This window comes from Homo sapiens, chromosome 20, assembly GCF_000001405.40.
Source record: "Homo sapiens chromosome 20, GRCh38.p14 Primary Assembly".
Lineage (NCBI taxonomy): Eukaryota > Metazoa > Chordata > Mammalia > Primates > Hominidae > Homo > Homo sapiens.
Genome location: NC_000020.11, coordinates 56,478,228 through 56,490,778, shown reverse-complemented (window position 1 = coordinate 56,490,778; position 12,551 = coordinate 56,478,228). Strand labels below are relative to the sequence as shown.

The window sequence follows — 12,551 nt, the reverse complement described above, 5'->3', positions numbered from 1 at the left end:
ATGGCACGATCTCGGCTCACCGCAATCTCTGCCTCCCAGGTTCAAGCCATTCTCCTGCCTTAGCCTGCCGACTAGCTGGAATTACAGGCATGCACCACCACGCCTGGCTAATTTTTTTGTATTTTTACTAGAGACGCGGTGTCTCCATGTTGGTCAGGCTGATCTCGAACTCCCGACCTCAGGTGATCCGCCTGCCTTGGCCTCCCAAAGTGCTGGGATCACAGGCGTGAGCCACCGCACCCGGCCTTAAGTTACCTTTAAATAGGCACATGTGGCTAATTGTACCATGCTGAACAGCACAGATCTGAGACATGAATGGCCATGATTATCTCTATTCACAGATCTGGGTCTCCTCCCTTAGAAAGTCCACGACTTTGCTGCTGCCGCTGCTGTTGTGGAGAACTTTATATATATCCTCCTTCTCTAAAAGAGTTCATACAGCATCATATGAAACTGAAGTGCGTGACAATTAAACAGCACAACATACAAGAGATTTAAAGATGGGAACACAGGAACCAGAGGAGAGGAAATTAAAGAAACATAATTCCAACGCAAAGTGTAAGCACCTCAGTAAATGGAAGCTTCCCACGCATAGAAATGAAGTCAAGTCACTGTGTGAAATAGCCCTGGGAAAACATCATTGCTAGACAGAAGGAAAAGGGATTTGGAAGACAGATCCCACAAATCAAACATCAAGGAACCACAGAAAAGTAACACCTTTGTTTAAACAAATCTTTCTTCCCCTTGGATATCTAATCCAAGGAAAGCACATATGGAAAATATTAAGACTTTCAAAAAGAACACAAGAGCCCCATGACAGCCCACCACCACCTTCCCACACATTTCTACAGGCAAACACGGCGCCCCCAAAGGCGATAGCTGGCTACATGCTGACAGGCTGTTCATTCAGAAAGCTCAGATTAGCCACGATTATGTCCCCGGTATTTTATAACTCAATAGCAACTGAATGTAAACCCCATTAAAGGAACAATAAAAAAGATTACATCTTTCAAGTTACTTAAAACATAAGCCTGCCTTCACTTCATTCCAATGTCAACCCGTGGTACACCCAGTCACATACCGTGAAGGGGGCCCTGTAAAAGCATCCGCCCACCAGCACCGTTAGGAGGACATGGGTGCTCCTGGGTGGGGAAGTGCTCAGAAGAATGGCTGACACTTTTAACGGATGAGAAAATCGAGGCACAGGGAGATGATGGGATGTTCCTGGGACCACACAGCTGGGAAAGTGGGGCTGGGATTTGGACCAGGCAGCTACACTCTGCAGTGTGACTACTGAGTCCCAGGTAGCTACATGACCTTACGTCACACAAAGAAGCACAAATTGAAACAAACACCTGCCCCCAACAGGCTTAATGCTATAATGAAGACATGTCCTGAACAAATCATTTCAGTATGGCCAGGCGTGGTGGCTCATGCCTGTAATCCCAGCACTTTGGAAGGCTGAGGCGGGTGGATCACGAGGTCAGGAGTTTCAGACCAGCCTGGCCAATATGGTGAAACCCTGCCTCTACTAAAAATACAAAAAAAAAAAAAAAATAACCAGGCATGGTGGTGGGCGCCTGTAGTCCCAGCTACTCGGGTGGCTAAGGCAGGAGAATCACTTGAACCTGGGAGGCAGAGGTTATAGTGAGCCAAGATTGCACCACTGCACCCCAGCCTGGGCAACAGAGCAAGACTCCATCTAAAAAAAAAAATCATTTCAGTAACAGCAGGATAAAGCAGAATAATAAAAGTACACTAAATGCATGTGGAATGTAAAAGCCTGAGACTGGGCTTCAGTGGAGAGTGGGGACAGCAATGGAAAACAAGGCCAAGAGTCAGAGAGGTGGGGAGGCCGAGAGGCAGGGAGGCTTGAGAGGCAGGGAGGCCGAGAGGCAGGGAGGCTGAGACAGGCAGCTGCGACAGGCCAGGGAGGCCAAGGGAAAGCAGCAGCTTCCGTGAGCATGAGAACAAGAAGCCTAGGCTCACTCTCTCCTTATCAGACCCTCAGTCTGTTGATGGGTAGAGTGAAAGAACAAAATGAACATGTGAAAGTTTAAGGCTGCCTATGCTGTGTCTTATCTGATTCCTTGAGGCTAAATATTCACAAAGACTATAAAGATGGCAGAAACCTAAGATACTCTGAAGAAGGCCAAAGCCTGAAAACCAGAATCAGCTGCACTGACCACTTCTGACGACACTCCTTTTCCCTAACTTAACTTTTTCTCTTTCTACTCCACCCCCTCCATGAAAAGCAGGTAGACAGTGTGAGTATATATATTTTTGACTTCTAACTTTAAAACATCCACACACCCCATTCACCTATCTACAAAGCCTACATAAATGAAGCCACAGAGGTAGCAAGTCCAATGCTACGGATCACAACTCCAGTACTCTACATTGGCACTTTTTTTTTTTGAGACAGAGTCTAGCTCTGTCGCCCAGGCTGGAGTGCAGTGGCGTGATCTTGGCTCACTGCAACTTCCACCTCCCAGGTTCAAGCAATTCTCCTGCCTCAGTCTCCTAAGTAGTTCGGACTACAGGCATGCACCACCAAGCCCAGCTAATTTTTGTATTTTTAGTAGAGACGGGGTTTCATTATGTTGGCCAGGCTGTTCTCGAACTCCTGACCTCAAGTGATCCAACCACCTCAGCCTCCCAAAGTGTTGAGATTACAGGCGTGAGCCACCATGTCTGGCCCCACGCTCTATGATTTTATTTTCTAAATTGTGTATTATGGGTTGAATTATGCCCCCCTGCAAAATCCATATGTTGAAGTCCAAGCCCTAGTACCTCAAAATGTGACCTTATTGGGAAACACAGTCAATGCAGATGTAATTAGTTAAGATGAGGCCATTAAGTTGGGCCCTAATCCAGTACCGGGACTGGTGTCCTAATAAGGGAAAATGTGGACACAAAGACAGACATGATAGAGGGAAGATGATGTGAACAGGGCGAAGGCCGTCTAGAAGCCAATGAGAGGCCTGGACCAGATCCTTCCCTCAGAAGAAACTAACCCTGATGACACCTTGATTTTGGACGTTAGTCTCCAGAACTATAAGACAATGACTTTCCGGTAAGTCATCCGGCTTGGGTACTTAATTACAGCAGCCCCAACAAACTAGCACAGAGTATTCAACACAGTTCTGCAAAGGCAACTCTGATGTACAGTATAAAAGTAAAAATAATTCATTATCTCGTTCATTCTTTGTTGGCAACAGATGTATCTTTAAGACAATTTCCTGAGGTATTCCTGAATTTCAACCAGTGCCCTGTCATAACTGCAGAAAGTCGCAACAGCCAAGGTGGCCTCCACGAGGAGCCGGGAGGAGCCTACGCTCGCTCCTGTTCGTCACCTGGTCTCTACTGTCCCTTGTGCAATCCTGACGTGGCTCTGTTCCTCTTTCCTCCTGCTTCCTTCCCTTCTCTTGAAGTGCAAGGTACAGACTGTTGAAAGCTTACTAGCTTTCAGTAAAACTTCCCAAGCACCAACGATATAATCTCAGAGTTCCCTTGTAACGCTGTATTTCCATGCAACAGAATCAGCTTCTCTGTGAAGCTCGGCAGACAGTGAGGTTTTACTGCATACGTGTCATCATGGTTATTAGTATGATTGTTTTAGGCCAACCAACGCAAAGGACAACTGTGCACCCATCTAACAGATGGGTACTATTATGGGCGTAAGAAAAAACTGGATTGCTTTAGATCAGTAGGTCCCCCAAACCTGGTGACCCATTAAAATGATTCTGAGAACTCTTAAGAACTAGAACTCCTGCTCCTCCTTCTGGCATTCGAAGGTTTCCCCAATCCAGTCCGACTCACACCTCGGCCTCTCTCCCTGCTCCTGTACCCCACCCCACAGTCCTGACAGGACCAGGCCTCGATCACACCTGCCACTCATCTCAGTATGGCTGCCCGGCTGCTTCTGCCCCATGAGCACTGCTGCTGCCTTTCTTTCCCCCACTAACCAATCACAGTCCCAGCAGGACTTACAACAGTGTTTTGCAAACTTCAGCCATTCCCCTGCCAACTGTACTGTCAATATCTTAATATTTTTATTTAAATCTACCCATTGTTTCTGCTTAATTTTAACTGCTAACTTTATTTTTTATTTATTTATTTATTTTTTTGAGATGGAGTCTCACTCTGTCACCCAGGCTGGAATGCAGTGGCACAATCTTGGGTCACTGTAACCTCCAGCTCCCAGGTTCAAGCAATTCTCCTGCCTCAGCCTCCCGAGCAGCCAGGATTACAGGCGCGTGCCACCACACCCAGCTAATTTTTGTATTTTTAGGAGAGACAGGGTTTTACTATGTTGGCCAGGCTGGTCTTGAACTCCTGACCTCAGGTGATCCACCCGCCTTGGCCTCCCAAAGTGCTGGGATTACAGGCATGAGCCACTGTGCCCAACCTAACAGTTAACTTTATATTCCTAGGCTAAATATAGAGAAACAGTACTCTTTGCCATAAATATCAAGTTACCATAAAAATGCAGAGAATACCAAACAGTTTTGCTAGATCCTGCCTGCCAAAGCTCTGAGCTTAAAGTCTACTTTCTTAGGCAGTTAAGAGAGTGTTACAAACGTACGAAGATTAAAGGGAGACTTTCTCCTGAAAGCAAGCAGAAGGTCTGAAGGACAGCAAAATGGGCGTCACTGTCCTGCCAGACAACGCCTTACAGAGATACCCAGTACCTGGCTGTGCGCCTCCCCAGAGCAGCACCGCTACCACCAGCAATCTCTCCATCCCCGGGAGTGCAACCAATAACCATGCTCTTCCTTTGAGGCCCAGAACAAATGCCCCTCCCTTTATAAAGCCATTTCTTACCAGTAGACAAAAAAAAGTTCTCTGGCCCCTTAGTGCCAATATCTTTACCATCTGTTTGGTACCTGGCCTCAAAAAGCAAAATAGAGTGTGATGTCTCACATAACATGATTCCTGCAGGACTGCAATCTCCGTGAGTGCAGGAACCATGTCATCCAAATCTTATTTTCCCTTGGAATCTATGCCATCATCTTAATACGGGAGCCACAATAAATACTTCTGGCTGAATATCAACCAATTCCCAAATGTTTTATTTGAATTTCTTTTCTTAAAAGAAAGCTTAATAAGACAGACTCCTCATTCTATGAAGGCTTTATTCATAGTCACCCCAAACTGGACATAACTCACCGCCCCCACTGACCTCTTCCCCACTCACCTCTGCCTGCCTCCGGGCCTAGGTAACGGGAGCCACCCAGTCCTCCTCCACGTCTAGGATTTTTAGAACAAAATTAATGCACATCCCATCCGGCTTACAGCTGCCTTCTGGCTTCCTGCTGCTCTTCGAATAACATCCATAAGCCCCAGTGTGGCCCCCAGGCCTTGCATGAGATGACCCCTGCCTAACTCTTTAATCTCATCTACTCCCCTCACCAGCCCTCCACTCTCACACTTTCTGTTCACTGAACTCGCAAAGTCCTCTGTCACTTCTGAGCTTTTGCACATGCTGTTCCTGCTGCCGAAGAGGCTGCTACTCAGGCTGTGCACAGCTGGCTCCCTCGTGCCCTTCGGGTCTCAGCTCAAACCTCCAGATATGCCTCTGCCGACCACCACTACGCCAGCCTCTCTCCCTCCATCACATGGCCTCATGTGTTTCCTTCCTAGCATCGGTCACAATCGATTCTGCCTTGCTCATCTACTTGAGGGTCTCTCTCTCCAATCAGAATGTGGGATGCAGGAGGGCAAGGGCCTTCATGGATCTTATTCAGTATGCTTTCCCACAGATCAGTGCCTAGAAGAGACGATGGCCCCTAACCATCACTCAGTGAAAGCTGCTGGCTTTCACAACAGGGAGCAACAACACAGTGGGGAGGGGAATGAAATACAAACAGGGTTGATACAGGAAAATACAGTCAGAAGCTGCCGGCATCCATGACGTTAAATGAAGCAGCACGCTTTCGATGGGCCAGCAGTACACCCAAGACACACACACATTCTGGCTTCAGCAGCAGCAGCGCCATTAAAGCAAAGCATCAGTATTTCCTCCACGTGAGCTGAGGCTAGCTCTCATGTCTAGTTACTCGCCACCCATGCGAGCATTTACTGAGGGCACGCTACGTGCTCTGGAGAGAATATGCCCTGCGGATAAAGAGATGAACAAGCCTTGTTTCCTACCCTCAAAAACTAAGTCCGGTGGGGAAGCAGACACATACATACGCAATTACATTACGATGGGAGGAGTGAGAAAACAAGGTGCTTGGGGAATGTGGAAGGAGGTTTAGCACCAGGGAGTCACGGAAGAAGTAAGAACTATGGAATGGGGGCTCATGGGGGAGCAGGCCCTCCAGGACAGCAGGTCTGCTAGAGGAAACTGAGGCAGCAGCACATTCAGGAAACAGCCCTCGTGTGGTCTGACCTGGACTGGCAGGCAGTGGTCAGGTGACAAGAGGCCAGTGGATTCTGCACTTCCAGCAACCAAGAGCCATGGAAGCAGAAAAGCAACTTATGAGAGCTGATTTCAGAAAGAACAAATGGAGGGAAAGGACCCTAAACCATCTGATTTCCTCAGCTACAGAGAAGGAACAAATGGTACATGTCAGGAACTCACCGTGTGGCAAACTTCCGCTTTTATCTCTTTCAAGGCTCGCTCAGAAAACACACAGCCGCAGCACCGAAGGAAGCAGAACCTGGAGAAATAACCCAGTGGGGGAAGGACTGTATTAATCACATGATCAATTCACATTTATTCGGTTGATACAAAGGCCAAGAACCACAAAGATTAAAATAGTTACATTTTACTCTATTAAAAAAATCAGTACGTTCTCATAGAAAAGGGGCAGGAAAAAAAGAAATAAATCAGTTATATCCAAAATAAAAAAAAGATCAAAACTGAAACCACAAACATCAAAAGTCAAAAGAACAGGAACTCAGGGAGGAAATATTTTCAATAAATATAAGATTCAGAGCTTATTTTATGAATATTCAAAAAGGTCTTATACAGCAATAGTCAACACTATAATAGAAAAATGGCCAAAGAGGACTAACATGCAGTTCGTACAAAAAATATATAAAGACCAAAGGATTCTTAACCTCAAATGCTAAAAGAAATGCCTTTTGAAACCAGGACACATCATTTTTTACCTATCGGGCAGTAATTCAGGAGATTGGGGCTGGGCACAGTGGCTCACACTTGTAAATTCCAGTGCTTTGGGAGGTCAAAATGGGAGGATCACTTGAGGCCAGGAGTCTGAGATTAGCCTGGGCAACATACTGAGAACCTATCTCTAAAAAAAAATCTTTTTAAAAACTTAGCCAAGTGTGATGGTGGGTCCCTGCAGTCCCAGCTACTAGGGAGGCTGAGGTGGGAGGATGGCCTGAGCTATGATAGCGCCACTGCACTCCAGCCTAGGTAACTGGGACAGATTCTGTCGCTTGTCGCTTTAAAAAAAAAAAAAAGAGATTGAAAGTATCCAATTGGAAACTGAGGATACAGGCACATTTGTTGTCAGGTGGATACAACACAGTACAATACTTTAGGAAGATAATTTGGCAGTATCAAGTAAAGTGTGACTTTTAAGAGTTTCTTCTTACAGAAACATGCCCACAAGTGTGCAAATGTACAAATGTGTGCTCAGGAAGTTGTGTAGTATAGCAAGGTAAAAAGGAAAGGAAGGAGGCCACCTACATGTTCCTCAGTAGGGAAATGGTCAAATAAATTATAAACACCCAAACGGCTATTAAAAAGAAGGTAAATCTGTATTCAAGGTTGTGAAAATATGTCCAAGGTGGACAGAACAGAAAGAAAAAAAGAGGTTATTAAATACATATAATGTGACCCCATGAGAGTTTGGGAAGAATACGTGTCGATTTCTACGTCTATATGCAGAGGCGTGGAGAAGCGTGGATATGGGTGTGTGGTGTGGGGGAGGGAGCATTAAACATCAAACAACGAATAATGCCTCCACCGCGGCTGGAGAGCAGCATAAAGCACTTTCATATTTCACTTTAGGCATTCCTTGAAAAATGCCAAAGGACAAATTTTCTCTAATTTCCCAGGGATTATAGCAGACGCAGATTGGCCTAACCAAAATCCAGTTCATAACACTGCACTAAATTCACTGAATGTTGTTTAGAATTTTTAAAATCCTATTTTATAGATACTTACAAATTATTAGGAAGCTATTTTTCTTTTTACAAAGGCCCAATGTTTTTATTACACTAACAGTTTATTTCCATTTTTCTATATATTTAAATCTTTATTATACAAACTTTACTAAATACAGCTGGCCCTCTATATCCTCTATATCCATGCGTTCCGCATCTATCAATTCAACCAAACCGGATCAAAAATATTTGGGAGGAAAAATGAATGCATTTATATTGAACATGCACAGACTTTTTTGTCATTATTCCTTAAACAATACAGTATAACAACTATTTACACAGCATTTATATTGTATTAGGTATCATATGTAATCCTGAGTTGATTTAAAGTATACAGGAGGATGTGTGTAGGTTATATGCAAATACTGTACCATTTTATATCAGAGACCTGAGCATCCATGGATTTTGGTATCCACAGGGGGTCTTGGAACCAATCTCCCACACATATCAAGGGATGACCATACACAAACTAATCCAATCATCAATTTCAAGTGTGGAGGCTCTTATCAATAACAGATGGACAAAGTCAAAATAAGCAAAGCTCAATTCACTGGGTAAGAGAAAAAGGAGAAGAGACTGACCAGCAAACCAAAGGAGAAACAACAGGGGAAGCCACAATCAGAGCAACAGGCTGCAGGGGACTCCTACTCGAGACCCCATTGTGGAGCTCGTTTCTGCTAAGTTCCTCTTCTGGGGTGAGCTAGTTTTCTTAAAAGCAAGTGGGAAGCCAAACACGAAAGGTTACATATTGTATGATTCTATGCATATGAAATATCCAGAAGAGGTAAATCCATTGAGACAGAAACAGACTGGCAATGGGGAGTACCTATGTAATGGGCAGAGGATTTTCCTTTTGGGGTGATAAAAATGTTCTGGAACCAGATAGAGGTGGTGACCGTACAACACTGTGAATGTACTAAATGCCACTGAAACATACACTTTAAAATGGCCAATTTTATGTGACTTTCACCTGAAATACAAACATATACATACGTGTGTGTATATGTGTGTGTATATATATATGCAAACACACACACATACACACACATATACAGAAGTGGGACATGGTTAGGTAAATGAGTCTGGTTCCCCAGAATATGTCTTACTTGACCCCAATGGTGGTTTAAAAGAGAGCCCTAAGCGGTTTAAATTCAGATTATTTGAAGAAGAGTGTAATATTTAAAAGCAAAAGGTCCTTGGACCCTAAACTGTACTTCTCTCCAAATCCATGAAGCCCCTCGTTGTTCCATTTCAGAACAGGACAGTTAGTTCCCCTCGCACAGTCTGCCACACGCAACACGGCCTGGCACACTGAGAGGGTGTCCATGTACACCTGTTAAATAAACAGACGCCAATGTGCCAGAATGCTCAGGATTAAATACTGCTGTTTAAAGTTCAATGAAACCATTTTTACTTACTCGAGATGCTTTGCCCCACCCCTTTCCTGAATGAAAGTAATAAAAAATGCTACCTTTCAGTATGTTGTGTGTTTAACAGAAGATTCCAGAGGGCAGTCTGGACTACCAGCTATTAAGGATATAGGCATACCTTGTTTTATTGCGCTTTGCAGATATTGTGATTATTTTAGACTGAAGGTTCACGGCAATCCTGCATCTGGCAGGTGTGTCAGCATCTTCCCAGCAGCATGTGCTCACGTCATGTCTCTGTGTCACATTTTGGTAATTCTCAAATATTTCAAATGATTTCATGATTACTACATCTGTTACGGTGATCTGTGCTCAGTGACGTTTGATGTTACTTTTGTAATTGTTTTGGGGTGCCAGGAACAACACTCTTATAAGATGGTAAACTCAATTAATAAATGTGTGTGTTTTGACTGCTCCATGAACTGGCCATTCCCCCATCTCTCTCCTTCTCAGTTCTCCCTATTCTCTGTGACACAACAATATTGAAATTAGGCCAATTGAGAACCCTACAATGGCCTTTAAGTGTCCAAGTAAAAGAAGAATTGCATGTCTCTCACTTTAAATCAAAAGCTAGAAATGATTAAGCTTAGGGAGGAAGGCAGGCCCAAAGCCAAAACAGGCCAAAATCCAGCCTCTCAAATCAAACACTTAGCCAGGCTGTGGATGCAAAGGAAAAGTTCTTGAAGGAAATTAAAAGTGCCACTCTATAAACAGATGAATGGTAAGAAAGTGAAACAACCGTATTGCTGATATGAAGAAAGTTTTAGTGGCCTGGACAGAAGATCAAACTAGCCACAGTGACAGATCCTTAAGCCAAAGCCTAACCCAGAGCAAGGCCCTAACTCTCTTCAATTCTATGAAGGCTGACAGAGGCAAGAAAGCTGCAGAGGAAGAGGTGGAAACTGGAAGAAGTTGGTTCATGAGGTTTAGGGAAAGAAGGCGTCTCCATAACATAAAAGTGCAAGGTGAAGCAGCAAGTGCTGATGGAGAAGCTGCATTAAGTTCTCCAGAAAATCTAGCTAAAATCATTAATAAAGATGGGTACACTAGACAACAGATTTTTAGTGTAGATAAAATAGCCCTGTGTTGAAAGAAGATGCTATCCAGGACTTCTACTGCTAAAAAGGAGAAGTAATGCCTGGATTCAAAGCATCAGGACAGGCCGACTCTCACTAAGGTCTAACGTGCCTGGTGACTTTCAGTTGGGCCAATGTTCATTTACCGTTTGGAAACCCTAGGGTTCTTAAGAATGATGGTAAGTCTACTCTGCCTGTACTCTCGAAATGGAAGAACCAAGCCTGAATGAGAGCACATCTGTCTATAACATGGCTTACGGAATATTTTAAGCCCAGCGTTGAGACTTACTGCTCAAAAAAAAAAAAAAAAAAGATTCCTTTCAAAATATCACCGCTCATTGATAATGCACCTAGGTCACGCAAGAGCTCTGATGGAGATGTACAAGATTAAAGTTGTTTTCATGGCTGCTAACACAACAACCATTCTGCAGCCCATGGATCAAGGTGGAACTTTGACTTTAAAGTCTTATTTAAAAATACATTTCATAAGGCTATAGCTGCCATAGGCTTCCTCTGCCATTCCTCTGATGGATCTGGGCAAAGTAAATTGAAAACCTTCTGGAAAGAATTCACCATTCTAGATGTCATTAAGAACATCTGTGATTTGGCCCGCTGTGGTGGCTCACACCTGTAATCCCAGCACTTTGGGAGGCTGAGGCAGGCAGATCATCTGAGGTCAGGAGTTTGAGACCAGCCCGGCCAATATGGTAAACCCTGTCTCTACTAAAAATATAAACATTAGCTGGGCACGGTGGCGGGCACCTGTAATCCCAGCTACTCGGGACGCTGAGGCAGCAGAATTACTTGAACCCAGGAGGTGGGGGTTGCAGTGAGCCGAGATTGTGCCACTGCACTCCAGACGGGGCAACAGAGCTGGACTCCGTCTCAAAAAAACAAAAAAACAAAAAACAAACAAAAAAAATCTGTGATTCATGAGAGGAGGGCAGAATATCAACATTAATAGGAGTTTGGAAGAAGCTGATTCCACCCCTCATGGACGACTTGGAGGGGTTCAATGCTTTAGTGGAGGAAGTAACGCAAATGTGGTAGAATGGCAAGAGAATGAGAAAAGTGGAGCCTGAAGATGACTGAATTACTGCAATCTCACGATAAAACCCAAATGGATGAAGAGTTGCTTCTTATGGATGAGCAAAGAAAGTGGTTTCTTGAGACAGAATCTGCCCATGGTGAAGATGCTGTGAATATTGTTATGATAGATTTGAAATATTACATAAGCTTAATTGATAAAGCAGTTGCAGGGTTTAAGACAACTGATTCCAATTTTGAAAGAAGGTCTACTGTGGGTAAAATGCTATTAAACAGCATCACATGCTACATACAGAGAAATCTTTCATGAAAGAGTCAATCAATGCAGCAAATTCTATTGCTGTCTTACTGTAATACACTGCTACAGCCACCCGAACCTTCAGCAACCACCATCCTGATCAGTTAGCAGCCATCGACATCAAGGCAACATCAAGGCTCCACCAGCAAAAAGATGATGACTCGCTGAAGGTTCAGGTGATTGCTAGCATTCTTTAGCAATAATTTTTAATTAAGATAGGTACTTTGTTTTTAGACATAATGCTATTGCACACTTAAAAGACTAGACTATAGTATAAACATAACTTTCTTTTTTGAGACAGGGTCCCACTCTGTCACCCAGGCTCTGCAGTGGCATGATCATACCTCACTGCAGCCTTGAATTCCTGGGCTCAAGCAATCCTCCTGCCTCAGCCTCCCAAGTAGCGAGGTCTATAGGTACATGCCACCATGGCTGGCTAATTAAAAAAAAATTTTGTTTCGTAAAGACAGGGTCTCACTATGTTACCCAGGCTGGTCTCTAACTCCTAGCCTCTAGCAATCCTCCTGTCTCGGCCTCCCAAAGTGCTGGGATTATAGG

The 12,551-nt window shown here is 44.1% G+C and overlaps 1 protein-coding gene across 6 annotated transcripts in view; it reads right to left on the bottom strand.

Moving 5' to 3' along the window:
• The window catches only part of RTF2 (replication termination factor 2), a 50,823-nt gene that overhangs the window by 28,671 nt on the left and 9,601 nt on the right, over positions 1 to 12,551 (bottom strand). For all 6 annotated transcript variants that reach the window (NM_001283035.2, NM_016407.5, NM_001283036.2 and 3 more), the window contains one exon: positions 6,590 to 6,668. In NM_001283035.2, coding sequence (NP_001269964.1) covers positions 6,590 to 6,668 — 79 coding nt within the window. The remainder of the gene's footprint in view (positions 1 to 6,589; positions 6,669 to 12,551) is intronic.